This window comes from Homo sapiens, chromosome 11, assembly GCF_000001405.40.
Source record: "Homo sapiens chromosome 11, GRCh38.p14 Primary Assembly".
Classification (NCBI taxonomy): Eukaryota; Metazoa; Chordata; class Mammalia; order Primates; family Hominidae; genus Homo; species Homo sapiens.
In genome coordinates this window covers 7,606,558-7,624,229 of record NC_000011.10, presented here as the reverse complement: position 1 = coordinate 7,624,229, position 17,672 = coordinate 7,606,558, and the positions used below count along the sequence as shown (strand labels likewise).

The 17,672-nt window shown below is 43.6% G+C and overlaps 1 protein-coding gene across 32 annotated transcripts in view; it reads right to left on the bottom strand.

The window, feature by feature from the left end:
• Positions 1-17,672, bottom strand: part of PPFIBP2 (PPFIB scaffold protein 2) — a 153,306-nt gene that overhangs the window by 43,075 nt on the left and 92,559 nt on the right. For 30 of the 32 annotated variants that reach the window (NR_147792.2, XM_011520415.4, XM_047427751.1 and 27 more), the window contains 2 exons: positions 13,808-13,939; positions 3,203-3,295 (listed from right to left, as the gene is read on the bottom strand). Coding sequence is in view for 31 of the 32 variants with exons in the window: in XM_011520415.4 (XP_011518717.1) it covers positions 3,203-3,295; positions 13,808-13,939 (225 nt within the window). In the remaining variant the exon portion in view is untranslated. Of the gene's footprint in view, positions 1-3,202; positions 3,296-6,935; positions 13,940-17,672 lie in introns of those variants that run through there. The other 2 variants (NM_001351856.2, XM_047427755.1) reach the window with 2 other exon arrangements.

The following is a 17,672-nucleotide window of genomic DNA, read 5'->3' as shown; positions in this document are numbered from 1 at the left end:
CCTGCTCCAATGTCAGGGCTCCACCCACCACCGTGTGTCTGCTTCTGAGTTAACAGGACAGATGAAGGCCACTCTTACCAGGCTTGGGCTCCCTCAGCCCACCGCAAGGGTTTCTGAATAACCTTCCCTAACATCCCCCAAATGGGACAGGGATGACCATATAAAGAGATGACAAGGGGTAGGGTTTCCTTATTCCAAAGTTCATAATGAAGCACTGTCCCTCCACTCTGGGCTCCACTCACAGAGGCCAAGAGCTGGGTCCTGCTGTGTAACCCACTTTCTGAGACATGCAGCTATGGAGCAGTTTATCAGAGCTCACTCAGGGCAAAGATGCCCATGGGCTTATGACTCATGGTGACAATGGCTTCTGAAGATATTAGCTTTGGGACTCTCAACCTCCATTTCTACAAAGGCCAGATGATTCTTGAAAGATATTCCTTTAACTTTTCTTGCACCTCTCCATGCCCATTTCTCCCTTTCTTTGTGGACAGGATGGGCACTCGTCTCTGTTAGAAATCTGGATACCTGATGCTTGTCTGCTGGCCCCACAGTTGGGAATTCAGCAATGTGGACCGATCAAGAGAGAATCTAGCACGTGGCACTATGAGGGCTCTCCTTCCTGAGCCCTGCCTCTATGGGAGGTCCTGTAGGTATATACCATGGACCCTACAGACCAAGTGACTGGGCCCAACCTGCCTTGTGCCAATTTCCACAGAAATAGGCCAGAAACTATAGGTGCTCTGTTATCCTTTGAGCGATCTCTGTCTCCGCAGTTGGGAAGGCCAAGAACAGTCCAGAGACCTTCTACTTGACTGTGTATGCTACTGCCACTGTTCCTATGGCCACAGTCACCATGGCTAGGGCTGTGTGGCACAAGGTCTGAGATAGCTATGCAGACAGGCAGTTGGGCAGAGACGGATGCTCTGGGTCCCTGCAAGTGCTGTGCCTCATTAAACCCAGGGACCATGCCCTACTGCCATTGCACTGGGAGATGAATCCCCTTCAGAGACTGAGAGGCCTGAAGCAGAAAAGTGAAAAACTTCCAAAAACAGTGCTGGTTTTCTCTGCAGGGAATCAGGATGATGTTGGAAACAGCATGAAGGCACGGGAATGACAGAGACCCAGATGTGAACCTCAGCTTGGCCACGCTGAGCCTCTGTTTCCTTCCCAGTCAAGTGAGAATAAAAAAACATATACCTCACTGGGTGATTTTATGGATGATAAAATGTGTGCAAATAGCTTGGTACATTCTGGCACATAGGAAGTGCTCCACACCTGGTAGTTATTAAATAACCCTTAGCATCTCAAAGGTCTACATGCCAAGACAAAGAGCTGGGGTGTTAAAAAGAAAAGTGTTATTTGGTTTTATGACAGAGGGCGGTATGTACAACTTCAAAGGTTTCCCCAAGACAGGGCTTGTTTGAGTGGGGTGTTGTGATGGAAGGTTCTGAGCTACTGGACAAAACCAGTGCCCCTAGAGCTGGTGCCTGTGAAGCATACACATACAAAACTACACTCAGATACACACAGGCCAGGACACAGATGGGTCTGACTGCCCAGGCTTGGTACCAAATAGCTGTAAAATCTTGGGAAAGTTAATCTCTCTGTACATCCATTTCATTATCTGTAAAATGGTTAATCAAATGATTTTATATTTATACACTAGATTACATAAATATTTATATATGTTCAGTGCTTTCTTTTGATAACATGAGAAGTCATAAAATTTTAAGTAACAGCATGTTATAAAATTGCATGTAAATTATCAACAATAAAAATTAAGAGACAGAGACACTGAGATAGAGAGACCCTGATGTTTGAATATTTGTTCCTGCCAAATCTCATGTTGAATTGTAATCCCCGATATTGGAGGTGGGCCCTGGTAGGAGGTGAATGGATCATGGGGATAGATTTCTCATGAATGGTGGCACCACCCTCTTGGTGCTGTCCTCGCAACTGTGAGTGAGTTCTCACGAGATCTGGTGGTTTAAAAGTTTGTGGCACCTCCTCTCCTTTCTCTCACTTGCTCCTGCTTTTTCCTTCTGCCATGATTGAAAACTCCCTGAGGCTTCACTAGAAGCTGAGCAGATGTGACCACCATGCTTCCTGTAAAACCTGCAGTACCCTGAGCCAATTAAACCTCTTCTTTATAAATTACCTAGTCTAAGCTATTTACCTGTAGCAATGCAAGAATGGCCTAACACAGACCTAAAACAGAAGAGAATAATACACGGAAGGAAATATTAGCAATGGTAGTGCCTGGGTGGTATGAGTGCTTTTTATTCCTTTAATTTTTTATGGTTTGAAAATTCTCTATAGTGTGTGTTATTGTTTTTATAATAATTAGCAACTAACTTGCACAAAAAATAAAAATACAAACTAGAAGTTAAGAAAACTCTAATAAAAACATCCAGTAATGCCCTTGGGTGGCACTGCAGACACAGTAGGGGAAGGCAGGTGTGAGCCTCCCACCTCCCCATACTCCCAAAGGAAACCTAACTGTAGCCTAATGTAAACTTCCTGAAATTTAAATAACAATTTAACGTTTTAAAATCCAATGTGCAGGCCAAAAAAATTCATGGGCTGAATGTAACCCACTAGTTTTGATCTCTGCACTTTAGTATAGGAAAAGAAGGAAGAAACAAAGGGGACAGGGAAGAAATTTATTTCACAATAGAATTTATTATTGGTGTCCTTTAAATTGCAGGCTCCCTAGTTTAAGAGAAACATGATTTGATTGAAGAAATAATTCGAAGTTTATGCCATTTTTAGGAATATATTTTGTGCCAAATATAAAGCATGCCTATTTTTTTGAAAAACTGATTCTAGAAGGGACTACTGAATTTAAAATGATGCATCCAAGATCTGCTTTAGGACGCATGATTCACTGCCTGCCACTCACCTGCTCTCCCCACTCCTAGCCCCTTCTTGGCCCAGCTTCAGCCAGGTGCTATGGGGTGCAGGGAGAGGAAGCAGACTGGGTTACTACAATTGACCAATTCATAATCTCACGGGCATTCTCCATGAGGATCTTTCCTGGATCAAGTCTGTCTACTGCACCATCTGGGCACTGCTGTGTGTCCACACTGGAGGGTTGATTTGCATTTTCAAACTTAGGCTACTGGAAACCCCCAAGTTGGAATGCAGACCCTCCCCACAAGGCCCTCATACTCTCTCCATAAGCATCAGGAGTGCCGTTTACCTTAGTGGCCTTTAGCTTCCATTCATACTGATTCCTTTCATTTTCCAACTCTTCCACTTTGATTTTGAGGTGCCTGAGCTCTTGCAGTAACTCCTAGGGGATGAGGGAGAAAGACAAAGTTCTGATGGTTAAAAGATGTGCTCTTGATTTACCAACCTGGTTAAGCTCATGCATATGGGGTGCAGCAACCACATCAAGCTCCACATAACAGCTTTAATCTTTAAACACGTCCCTTGTTTCAGGAAAGCTGTATGGCCGTTAAAAAACAAAGGCCAGGGAGTTCCAGACATAAGAAAGTGAAAACTTTCCTTTTAGTTTTAGAACCTGTTCTGCCTGCCCCTTTCTCTGACATCTATGTCCTCTGTGGGGTATGCCAACATCACACACATGAGTATAGGCAGGCAGGCGAGGCTTCGGAGTGGGAAGAATAGAGATGCTGAAATGAGGCAGCTTCTTCCCTGTGATGCAAAGTAGTAGAAAGCAGGCTAATTGGGAGCATCTCTCTGTGCTGGGAGTGAAGGAAGATAGAAGAGGGGGCCTGTGATCCTGAAAGGCCTCATAGAGGAACCCTAAGGGAACAAATGTTAAGGGCCAAATATAGATGCCAAAATGGGTGTTCCAGTTCAGAGGAAGAGATTGATTTGAAGAAAGAAGGGAGGGAGAAGGCATCCAGGGAGGAGTAAAGATAGGAGACAGAAAGGGAGATAACTCATGCGGCTAGAGCTGAGGGTGTAGGCACACAGTGGAAGATGAGGCTGGGAAGTTAAGGTGAGGCCCTAAGGTAAAGGCTTGAGGATGAGAATACACATGATGAGTTCCGATGCCATTCTTTGGGCAGTAGGGAGTCACTGAAGGTTGCTGAGTGGGGAAGTGACACAAACAATTTTCTCTTACTCATTTAGCTAGTAAGTGGTGGAGCTGGAATTCAAGCCCATATATTCTGACTCTAGGACCCTTGTTTGTGAAACTACTCCTTCTATAAAGATGACTCCACTAAGCACTGTTATCTTGAACCAAGATTTCCTTAACAGACAATTGGTCCTGCTGACTAGCTCCCATCAGAAGAACTGGCATAAAGATAATTACTTCCATAGGCTTTCTGAACTGCAGTCTCACACAACAAACTTCCTACTTAACATCACATGGATGCTGCATAGGCACCTCCGGACTGTCAGGTGCCAAGTGGAATGCTCAACTCCCCTCCTAGTTACTCTCATCTCACTAAATGCCATATCCATCTATCTAACGGCCTATCCAGAAACATAGGATCTATCCTCTGCATCTCCCTGTCCTTCCTCCTCTATGTATGCAATTCGTCCCCAAGCTTTATTAATTCTACTTCCAGGAAAACAACTTGAATGTCTCATTTCTTTCCCACTCAGGCACCACCACTCTGGTCTAGCAATTAGCACTGACAGCCTGGACAGTCAATTCATTGGTTGCTCCTCTGTTGTCTTGCTCCTCTCAAAGCAACTGACCCCATGGCATCTGGGGGAGTGATATGATCAAACCATACATCAGATCATGGCACTCCCATGCTTCTCAAAGCTCATAAACTTCAACCCGTGACCTGACAGCTCCCTGCCTGCCTCTTGGATCACTCTTTCTCCCTAGTTATGCTCTAGCCACATGGATAATTTTCAGTTCCTCTCTCCAACTTAGGTCTTCGCAGACAACATTCCCTCTGTCTGGAATTTTCTGCCAGGTTAACTCCTGCCCATCCTTCAGGTCTCCCTGAGTAAAGCTATCCTGACCTCCCTACTATATCAGGCCCCTCTGCTATATTCTCTTGTTGTACTCTGTGTACCTCCTACATAATTTGCAATTAAATATTTATTTGTATGACAGCTAATAGCTAGCTCTCCTACTAAACTGTAAACTCCATGAGGTATTTGCTAACCTCTGATTATCCTGCAGTGCCTGGCACATAGTAGGTGTATACTATTTGTCAATGAATGCACACATGAAACTTAAGTCATTATTTAACTGGCCTGGAGGTCTTGGCCTTCTGAGATAATCCACCACAAAGTTGACATTGCTTACCCTTGAATTTTGTAGGGTCATTTTTTAAGATTGCCTTCTAGTTGAGGTGAGCATATGCTGATGCCCGTTAAAAACAAGACAAAAAAAAAAAAAAAAAAACTTCTGGATGGCATGGTGGCTCACGCCTGTAATCCCAGCACTTTGGGAAGCCGAGGTGGGTGGATCACTTGAGATGAGGAGTTCGAAACCAGCCTGGCTAACATGGTGAAACCCTATCTCTACTAAAAATACAAAAGTTAGCCGGGCGTGGTGGCAAGTGCCTGTAATCCCAGCTAAAAAAAAAAGAAAAAGAAAACTTCTCAGCTAAGGTTATTGCATCCATGATCTGCATCACTGGATGTCAAGGCCTCAGATACCTGCTTTGACTTGCAGCAGACCCAGAATCATTCTCTGAGGACATTATTGGCCCTGCCTGAGAGGCTCCAATGCCCACAAGTTGAGGGTTCTTCTGCTCAGCCTTGTATCCTAGCCAGGTTACTCAGTTTGTTGGAGAGGGTGTCAGGCCAGCTGATATCAGAATCAGAAGTGTACAGGTTCCTACTGCCTGAGGGGCTGCCACTGTGGGTATACAGAAATCATCCTCTCCAGGCTCCGTGACCTCTGGAACATCCTCTTCCTTCTATGTTACTTGTTGTCCATCATTGACTACCAACATTAGTACACACACGTTTTTCCTTCCTTTAAAAGTCTTGCTGGAGTAACCTACTCAACATAGGTCATGCGCCAACACCCTCTCAAGGCTTCTCTATCCAAGTCTACATTTACATCTTGACTTTCCTATTTCCCCGCTGTCCTTTAATGCAGCAGGAAATCTTTCCAACCAAATCCCTTCCCGCAACACCTATGTCTAGATTTTCAACAGGCTCCCTAATTGAGTATGGACCATAGTAACTTCCTACAGAGCCAGGGTATCCTCTGTAGTACTCATGGCTGCTGTGACCTCGGTCTTTTCTTGGGGGGCTTCCAAGTCCTCTTCAACAGGAGGCCTCCTTCGAGGCATAGGGTTATCTCTGCTGAAGCTGCCATCACCTGCCATCAGCAAAGTCACAGAGGACCAGGTTACCCCCGTGTGGAGAGCCAAGTCCAGAATCCCAGTCAGATAGAGCCCCACATGGCCCTGTTGTTATAAAATCACCCTGATGTGATTATGTGGGGGGGATTTTTCCTGGAAATTCAGATGATGACTTAATTATTCACAGCATATGAAAACTTGTATTTTATTTTTTCACTGGGGGTAAACCTCTTTGAACATAAACTTGAAAGGATTCTTTTTCATAATACTTCTTTTCCTTAAAAAAAAAATCATGTGAAACAAAAGTTTGTTTAATCTCCCAGCCTGGGAAGAGGAATCAGTATCTGAGTCACATACCTGAGAAGGGGAATCATGAGGCTTCCTGTGGCACAAATGCCCCATCACTCGGAGCACCTGGTGCACCTCATTCCCAGCCCTAAAGGAGATGAGTGCCACCTGTTTGAGGGTTGGCCTCACCTGCTCAGACCCTGCTCAGTGAGGGTCACTGAGCTCACCTCACATCCCAAGAGGATTGAGTGAGTCCAAGCTCTGCCCAGAGGTAACAACAGATCCATGCCAAGCCACTGCACTCTGTTCTGGTTAGGAGAAACCCCAGCCCCTCCACCAGTGAAATGCCCCACACACGCATGCTCTGATATACTTAAGTGTGGTTCCTACAGGTGACCCCTCCCAACAGGCACAGTCCTGGCTGCAGGGCTGGGGCTCGGCCACACCGTCGCTGGCCGCCACCTCCTCAGGGTGGTCCCTACTGAGTAACAGGCGCTCTTGAATCTGCCTGTGGATGTCCAGCTGCAGCCTACACATCTGCTCCTGCAGCTCACTGATCACATTCAGAACCGACTGTAGGAAGGAAAAGAAAGAAGAGAAAAGCACTCCAGGTCAGACAGCTCTCAGACGCAGAACTCCTTAAGAGAACAGCACAGAGGAAGTGTGCATGGGGCAGGGAGCAGGTGGCACTCAGTGGTCACTGTCGACGGCCCTCCACTTTCCACAACAGAACCAAAAGACATGGCATTTTTCCTCAGGCCTGCCCCATCCAGATGCCTGTCTTGCAGTTCGAACAAATCCCCAACAGCTCCTTTGTGCCATATTGTTGTGTCAACACCGAGGCATGGAGTCTAGAAGAAACTCTTCATCCAAGCAGAAGCAATAGCAGAGATGGGTGCACACTGGGGCACACACACAAACACGTCCTCTCTCCACATATGCATGATACACACACCGACTCCCCTTACCCAAACACCCAACGTGTCAGCACCTATGCACAGGGGACATATGGCACACATCACACTTATCCATGACAATATGTACCCAAACCCTGAACTCAGGCATCAATATGCCTATTTCAGTATATTCATCTTCTATTCCTCCATCCTGTCTACAAGATTATCTCAAGCAACGTTTTTGCAACACTTCACTGAAATGTGGATTTACCTGGTCTACCACACGACACATTCCCGGCCAAACCGATAAGGCCAATCTGACGAGACTCACTCCTTGAGGACACGGATCCCTACTTTGTCTCCTCCCTTCTTGCAAACCATCATAGAGTTGGCCCCAAACTCAACAGACTAAAATTTACTGAATCTATCAAACTTTTGCCATTTTGAAAATCAAGAAGGAAATGGTTCATTTCCAGTTTTCTAGCAACTCATTTGATTTTCCTGATTCCTTAAAATTAACTTATAGCAAGCACTTTGGGGGACTATTGTCCTAAATTTTTTGTATCTGTCAGAGGCATCCATGGAATCAAGTCCATTTTTTCTTTTTAAGAACATAACTGTGTGTGGGTGTTTGTGTGTGCGTGTGTATGTGTGTGTATGGCTTTGTGTTGTCCTCAGCATTGTCCTTTAGTTTCGGATGTCCCCTTCCTGACACTGGTCATGCAGGTGCACTTTTGTCTTTAGCATATGTCCTTTCTGCCTTTTGTAGAAGCCCCTCTGAAAACTACTTCCTTTCAAGAGACCTCTAAACTCTTCCTTTTTATTGGTATTATCTGTGAGATTGCACAGTCAGAATTATATTTAAGTAGTTCAATATTCTTGGGTCTTCCTCTATTCGACAGTTCCCCATCCATTTTATTTTTAAATTGTCAGAGTTATGATTTACCCAAGTCTACAGTGCATGTCTGTTTATGCCTAGTTTTTCCATGCTCACTCTCGTGAACATTCAAATAACAATGACCACTTTCTCTCAAGGTACCTATCACTTTTACTTCATAAACCAGTTTCTCCTTTTGCTTCAATGTTGGAGCTAGAAAGGCAGTTTTCCTAGTTTTGTCTTCTACCCTCTGAGTAGAGTGAAAGCAAGTGAGAAAAACAAACAAGTAAACATTCAAATGCTTCAGAATTCAGCTGGGAGATATTTAGGAGCTAACAAATAGGTTGCTACTCCCCTCCCTCCATTACTGCCCCTTGTGTGCATCAGTCAGTTTGGAGACCTGCATCAGGAACACATCTATTTTCATCCCTCTGCTCAGTGTGTGGTGTACCCAAAACTTCTGGGCTACTCTGCCTTAATTCTCCTGAGCCATGTGTTGTCATTGTTTTCTGGTATGTCTGTCCACAGGCTTGGCATTTCAACTTAGCTTTATAATTCTTTTTTTTTTTTTTTTTTGAGACGGAGTCTCACTCTGTCTCCCAGGCTGGAGTGCAGTGGCACGATCTCGGCTCACTGCAACCTCCACCTCCCAGGTTCAAGCAATTCTCATGTCTCAGTCTCCCAAGTAGCTGGACTACAAGTGTGTACCACCATGCCTGGCTAATTTTTGTATGTTTTAGTAGAGATGGGGTTTCACTATGTTGGCCAGGCTGACCTCAAACTCCTGACCTCAAGTGATCCAGTCTCCTCAGCCTCCCAAAGTACTGGGATTACAGGCATGAGCCACCACACCTGGCCTAGCTTCATAATTCTTTATCTCCAGGGCTGGCCCACCTCCTAACAGGTCTGTTTCCCTCCCATAAAGCAGACCCTTTTGTAGCTCTGTTCCATTCTGGGTTCCACATCATGATGTCTAGGTGGCATTTATGAGGTTATAATTGCTGTCCTGTGTTTTAACCTCAGCTCACTTTGTTTTTTAATCACACTTTGCCAACCATTAAAGTTCTTCTTTATGGTTCTTTTCTATGTGAAACTACTGGGCACCTCCCATAATCACAGTTGTTTCCAATTCCATCTTACCTGTTAATCTTGTACACAATTTTACTTAGTTCTTTCTTTTTTCAGGCTCAGTTTATATACATTACATTGCTCATGGGAATATAACCTCTATGTTCTAGAGAGGGCAATTTGGAAATATCTGTCAAAATTTCAAGTTCATGTACTCCTTGACCCATAAATTCCACATCAATATCTTTACATATATACAAGATTATTCACTACAGCATTATTTGTAATAGCAGAAACTTGGAAACCACCTAAATGTCCACTGAGAGACGACTGATTAAATAAATTAGGCTATTGTTGGATGGTAGAACAATATGCAGACATAGATATGAATGAGGAAGTTTTAAAAAACATACTTGGTGTAAAAAGAACTCCAAGACTGCTAAATTTAAAAAGAAAGGTCTAGAATAGTGTACATTTGTATAAAAATGAGGGAAAGTGTGTGTGTCTGTGTGTATCCACATGAATGTACTTGTCCACACATAATATAACTCTGGACGGATACAAACTGATGGCACTGCTTCCTGACTGCTGACTGGAGGACAGGTGTTGAAAGAGACCTTTTGCTATATACCCTTTTGAACACTTGATTTTTGAATTGTGGGAGTATATTTCCTACACTGATGCAAATGAGTAAATAAAGAAAATAAAAACAAGAATAAAAAAACTCTCCTATTAGGCCAGCTCATCTCTGAGCAAACACAATCTTCCCAGATCTCACTCTGTGTTCCAAGTCCATCACTCTGTTGCCTCAGTTCAGAAATCAGAATCCCTTTCTCCCAGGGTCCTAACCACAAGGAAGAAGAAATGATGGCATCATCACTTGTGCTGTGAGATGTTTCCATTTTCTGCAGGAAATCCTAAAGATTCTTCCCTGTTCTCTTCTTGCTCACGTGTACCCCTGATCAGTTGGGCTGACTCCCCTTCCTAGCATATCTGGGGTCCCTGCTCCCTTCTTAACAGGCTGCTCTGATAGCTATTCACAGAACCCTCTAGTTGCCACAGTGGGGTCCAACTGCAGGTTGCTGGCACCTCCACAGCATGGAGAAGCCAGATTTCTTTCTTGGGGAAGGCCCATCTGAGCAACACGCCTTTGCAATGCTTTGATCTGTGTCCACACAGAGGTTTTCCTTTACCTCTGGATCTCTTTCTTTCATGCTTCATCCTCTTGATTTTGGTATTTACTTTCCACGTCAATCACTCTTCTGTAGTCCTACTTTTCAGGAATACGTCTAATTCACCCAATCTTCAGTACCCTCATATGACCCTGAATCATTGCAAAAGGCTGATGAGAAAAGGTAAACAGGAAACCTAGTATTCACCCACATCTCATCTGGGCCACTACTCACTCTTGAGCAAGGCTGGCCATCAAGGAACCTGCGCCTGCAAGTCCCTAGGTCTTACAGAATGACTGTCGGTAATCATTTCCACAACTTAAAACAAGCAGCAAGATGCTGGCTTGGGCTATGATCAGAATCAGAGAAGGAGCAGTGTGAACTAAAATTAGAACTAGAACTAAAACCAAGTGATACAACTGAGACTAATTTCTAGTGACATTGTGGTGGCAATGCTCTTGCCACAAGCATTCTCTTCTTTTCATTAAAACATAAAACAGAATTTGAGGATAAAGCCTGAGCTAAGCTGAGAAACTGTATTTCAGATCTGGCTATCTCACACCTGAGGGGGAAAAAAAAAAGAATCCTGCCTGTTCCAAACCACACACAATGAGCCCTTAGGCTAAATACACTCACTGGAAAAAACAGCAGCAGTATAGTATGGGAAGCAGCGTTCCCTTTATTCATGCAATTACAACCTCTGGTGACCTTAGCAAAATGTCTCACTCAAAATAAACATCTCCATGCACATGACAATAGTGCAGCTTAAGCAGTACCCTGTGGTTTTAAACCCCTGGTTGCTCCAGACACTCACAAATAGAGGTAGAAGTTCTGTGCATACCAGCAAAGATTATGTGCAATTACAAGAACGAGGAATTTGTTTCAGGCCATGTGGCTGCTCACTGATTATCACAGGTTTGAACAGCCTACAGAATTCCTCCACGTGGAAACCTAATATTTGTACTAGCAACTGGGAAGGGCTGTTATCTGGTAGGACTGAGGCCAGACACTCAGGGTCTACGTCGCCTTATGTATGAACAGACTGATGAAAAACAAAAACAAAAAATTCAGATTTAAAAATAGTCCTTCAGAAAAGAAAGAAAAAAGCAAACAGTAAAATGACTGCATTAGTGCTTCTTGTCCCAGAAGTGGGAGCTCTCCTTCCTTTCTGATGTCCCTGTAAAGGGACTGCATTATCCTAGCTTGGTGCTAACTCTGTATACTTCCACACACGGGCTGACTTTCATATTCGCACCTCCCACCCCTCATGCACAGATCCCTGCGGTGACTGGTGTAGAACCAGGTATATGACCCAAAGTGGCCCAATGAGATGCAATCTTGAGGCTTTTGCTGGAACCTTTGAGAAAGCACCTCTTTGACTGCAGAAGTTGCCTGGCTGGCAGGATATCATTCCGGAGCTACTGATGGCTATCTCTGTCACCACCTGGGGAGAACCTTCTTGAGAATAAGGCTAAAGCAGAACCAGGTGATACAACTGAGACTAATTTCTAGTGACACTGTGAGATTACCCGGATCTAGTCATATTGTATTCTTTCAAACACTAGACTTTTCAAGTTATGTGACATAGGTCTCTCTCCTCCCTTTTTCTCTTAAGTGACTTTGAGTTGAGTGTCTGCCACTTTAAGCCTTCTCACAGAGTTTATGGAATTCTGCCCCCAAAGTCCTAATGTATGTTCACATACAATTGTGCAGGTTGAAACATTGGTAAAATACTTCAAACCAGAAGAAAATTCAGTTACTTCTCCCTCAACATTTAATTCAACTAGCACTTCACACAGATTAGCTTTCAGGCTGTATAAACTTTGCAATATGTAAATAATGTATCTATGTCTACATTTTCATTTCCAACATGCTTAACAATACTATCAGTAAGTGATCAATAAAAGCTAACTATTACTATGCTAAGGGTTCCACATACATTGTCTCATTCACTCCTCAGAATAACCAAAGAAATTGGAAGTATTACTACCTCCATCTTACAGAAGAAACAGGTCTGGGAAGTTAAATTACGTGACCAAGGTCACAAAGCCACTGAGCTCAGTTTAAAGCCAGGAGATCTGATTCATCAGCCTGGACTCTTAGTCAATACAAGCTACTGTTCTCAGCTTATTGGGGATATCTTCTTTTGGCAACTGTACTTCTAATTAATGAACATGTTCTCAAAAGCAATGCAAGGAACATGCTCACACATTAGAAATATTCTAATCACCAGTGTGTTTACTCAGCAAACATGGCAGATGTCAGTATGCACTAATGCTGGCACTTATCAGAAGGGAACAATATCCATCTTTAGCCTAAATGAAGGAAGGAGATGAAGACATACCAGGTGCTCACAAAATGCCAAATACTATGACAGGTACTTAACTTTCACGATTTTATTTGGACTTTACCACACAGTTATCCATTTTAACCAGATAAAGAAATTGAAGTTCAGAAAGATTAAGTAGCCAGCTTGAAGTTCATAGAACTATTAAGCAGTTAGGTCAGTAAATGAGCGAGGTGTTTCTAAACCTAAAACCTATCTTCTTTCATATCTCTCATTGCTAGGTGTGAATATAAGAAGAACTTAAAGGTAGAGGCACAGGAAGACGGTTATCTAAGGTTAAAACAGGCTGCCTGCTCTCAAAGGAGCTCTGAGTGTAAAATTCTCTAAACATTTATTTAAAAAAGAGTCTGGCATGTTCCAGCCAATGGCATACAAAGACTGAAAAACAAAATTAGGAAAACATTCTCTAAGAGAAGGCCTGCACATGGCATGCTCCATAAGACCCATCAGGAAAAGAGAAACACATCACCCGAGGTTCCATCTGGGTCAGTGAAACGCACGTCAAGAAACGTTTCCAGACTCCTTGGATCCAGTGTCAATGGCCTATTGGGAGGCTGACTTCATTCCGGTACGTCGTCATTTCCTTGGTTCTCACAGAAGACATCTTGTGTCCCTCCACATTTTGTCTTATTCTTCCCCAACTATTGCTTCTCTTTCCATCCTTGTCAGCAGTTTGAGGGCAGATAAAGCCTTAGAGCCAAAACTGGCTGGTTTGGATATTGCTGAAATTTGCAGCCACAGCAAAACCTGATAACTTGGTATTAACAGATCACTGCATCTCTAGTGTATAGATATTTCTGGCACCCAATAGCTTCCAGGCTGGGAGTTGACCAGATGGCCTAAATTCACATTATGACAGCCTTCCCAGGTCTGAGCTTAGGACAGTACACACTCACCCTTACCTCTGCTTTTCTCTGCTTCTCCTCCTGCTCTCTCTGCTCCTTCTCCATGCCAACCAGCTTGAGCTTCAGCTCAGACACTTCAGTCATCAGATCGAGCTTCTGGGTCTCAAGAGATGTGCGGCTTAGCAGCTCCTGCAAGCAAAAACAGATCTCGAAATCAGAAACCACTATGGCAATAAGAACAGCTCTGGCTTCATTTACAGCACATAAGGCAACACCTAAGTTGTGTGTTCAACAACACAGAATTGAGACTGCTACATGAGAGTCACAGGCCTATTATGGATGGGCCTGGGCTGATGCTGGGCTACTCAGGGATAGCGCACCCCCAATACCACCCACTGTGCTTTGATAGACAAGGTGAGCTACATTTCTCAAATGTGTTTGCCCATAGAGACCATTATTCATTATTTCCATGTAGAGAAAAGTGAATGGATACTTTCAAAGAACGAAATTTCTCAATTTTTTAAAAGACAAAGCAGTAGGTCCTCGCTTAAGTTAACAATATATTTTTTTCAAAGCCAAAATTTCTAGATCACTTTCTGGGCTCAACCAATGCTCAGCCCAGTTTTCAACATGTTCCAATACAAGACTTCACTGCAATGAACCTAGACAGGAGCTAGAACACAAAGTAGATGTGCAAAGAGTGTTGAATGATTACATAGGAATCTTATGTGAGATGGATCTTTCCTGGGCTGTTCCAAAATTACAATCTGGCCACTCTGGAATGTAAATAAGAAGATTGTTCTTTCCCAATTGTGAAGACAGACCAGGGAGGTTATTACTAGTCCTGCCATCACTAGAACAGTAGCAGACTATAACCAAATAACCCAGGGCTTTGACAACAAACCTGTCACTAATAAAAACACTTCATAAGCATAAACAAGGTAAAAAATAAAGATGATAGGCAAGACACCCACTTAGAAGTAATATGAATTATAAAGGACCTCAAAAATCAGGAGCATTTCCTAAAGTCCAGGGAAACATATTTTTCCATTGGCAAAGGGCAATGTCCTATGAGGTCCAAAATCCCGGCACATGGTAGACACTGGCTACAAAGGTTGTGGCAAGGAGAATAGACACAGCAACCAGGAAAGCAATGGGCCAAATGAACAGAAGGAAAATATACGATATCCTGCCATGGTCTGAACATTTTGTATCATCTTGGGCAACCCAAGCTCAGCACAAGAATGGCAATCTCAACACTCTGACTCAAACACTATGAGGTCACAGATTTGGAACCGTCCTCAGATTATGAATCAAACCACACGGGACAGAAATTTTTGACTTGGAATACATGATTCCCCAGGCCAACAGGCTGGGCAACAGCCTACCTGGGAAAGGTAGGCAACAAACTGTTCATCTGCTAGTCTGAGGGGATGGGTATCTCTCTTGAAGCCCAGCAACTCAGCATAATGAGCTCCCCGAGCTCTGGGGTAAGGAGGCCAGCTCTTCCTGGGCCAGCCAGACTGGAAGCTGGCTCACAAGGCAGAGGTGGAGCACTGCAGCCAGAGCACAGGCTACTTGGCCACTAGGAGTCAGCCAGATGAGTGCGTCCAATGCAATGGAGAACTGAAATTTGTTGAGTGCCTCCTCTGTACCAGAGACTGCTGGTGCTTTTGTATACATCTTCTTAATAAACCCTCCAAATGAGTTGGCAATAAATATTATCCCAATTTGACAGATGAGGAAACAGGCCAAGAGAGAGTACATAAATCTTTTGGCCAAGGACACAAGCCAATCAGCAGCAGAGTTATTTTTGTTTGTTTGTTTGTTTGTTTTTTTGAGACAGCGTTTCGCTCTTTTTGCCCAGGCTGGAGTGCAATGGCACGATCTCGGCTCACCACAACCTCCACCTCCCAGGTTCAAGCGATTCTCCTGCCTCAGCCTCCCGAGTAGCCGGGATTACAGGCGCATGCCACCACGCCCAGCGGATTTTGTATTTTTAGTAGAGACGGGGTTTCACCATGTTGGCCAGGCTGGTCTTGAACTCCTGATCTCCAGTAATTCACCCACCTCAGTCTCCCAAAGTGCTGGGATTATAGGCGTCAACCACCACACCCAGCAAGCAGAGTTAGTGTTCAAACAAAAGTCTGTTTGACTCCAGAACTCATTTTAGTCTATTGTATCACAGTTTCCCAAACAGAGAAAGAAGTCCAAGCATTTTAAGAGACATTTAAAAAAACATGCTAAAATAGGCAATCAACAAATATTCAATGAGCCCAGGAAATGCCCACTCAAATTGCCAAGATTTCATTGAGCACATACTACCTATCAGGACCCAGTGCTAAGGCTATGCAGGCCACAAAGGGCCTTAAGCAGTTCTTCCCTGAGTGTGAGGGCACATAAAATAAGTTATCTGAGTCTCTGAGTCTTGAGTACGTGAGTATCTTAAGATGTAATCATCCCCCACACCACCTACTCTCTTACCCTTCTTTCCTTTCCCTACCTCCCTCTCTTTCTTTATTACCTCATTCTCTAGTTCTCCATCCTTCTGCCTACCTACCTTATTCCCAAAATGTGTTTAGGCAGTTTGCAAAATAGATATTTCAAATTAAAAAATAAATCATAAAAATTAAAGCAGGTAGGAAAATAAGTTAAAGTCAGAGTTAGTAGAAAATCTATGCCATAAACTTCTATAAACAGCTAGAGATGGACTATAATGTACATGTGAGCTTCCCAGCTGCCAATGCAAAGGGGAAAAGGAACAAGTGCACAGGTCAAGGTCCACAAGAAAATGTCTTCAGACTACTGAGATCTCAGGGAAAAAAAAAAATCCCCCAAGAGACTTCATTCTTTTATTCAACAAATATGTTTTTAAATACCTACCAGATGCCAGTGCCTAGATACATGACAATTACTAATAAAACAAAGCCACTATTGAGTACTTGAACACCTTAAGGTGATGCTCAGCCTGGGCACAGTGGCTCATGCCTAGCACTTTGGGAGGCTGAGGTGGGTGGATCATTTGAGCCCCAGGAGTTTGAGATCAGCCTAGACAACATAGTGGAACCCTGCCTCTACAAAAAATACATACGCAAAAAAAAAATTAGCACCCGTGGTGGCATGGGCCTCAAGTAGTTCCAGCTACTTGAGAGGCTGAGGTGGGAGGATTGATTGAACCTGGGAGGTTGAGGCTGCAGTGAGCTGTGATCATGCCACAGTGCTCCAGCCTAGGCGACAGTGAGACCCTGTCTTAAAAAAAAAAAAAAAAAAGGCCGGGCGCGGTGGCTCACGCCTGTAATCCCAGCACTTTGGGAGGCCGAGGCGGGCGGATCACGAGGTCAGGAGATTGAGACCATCCTGACGAACATGGTGAAACCCCGTCTCTACTAAAAATACAAAAAATTAGCCAGGTGTGGTGGTGGGCACCTGTAGTCCCAGCTACTGGGGAGGCTGAGGCAGGAGAATGGCGTGAACCTGGGAGGCAGAGCTTGCAGTTAGCCGAGATCGTGCCACTGCACTCCAGCCTGGGCGACACAGTGAGACTCTGTCTCAAAAAAAAAAAAAAAAAAAAAAAAAAAAAAAAAAAAAAAAAATTCATGCAGTTTTGTCTTCTGATCAGCATTCAAAATACTGCTTTGATGTGATTTTTTAAAGTTTCATAATGTATCTCTTTTGAAAGCTAAGAGTCTACTCTGCTTCCATCATTGCCAAAATCCCTATTTTAACTACCAGGTTGTGATTAGTCATACCAATGGTTCCAGCTGATGAAGACAATATTTTCACTAGTTCCAACAGCCATTCCAATTGGTCATGCCAGTGTTTGAATTAGCCACACTAACATTCCAAACAGACATTCACAATTGGACACACTAACATTTTAATTAGAAACCTGAGGTTGCTTAATTTCATATAGTTCACTAAT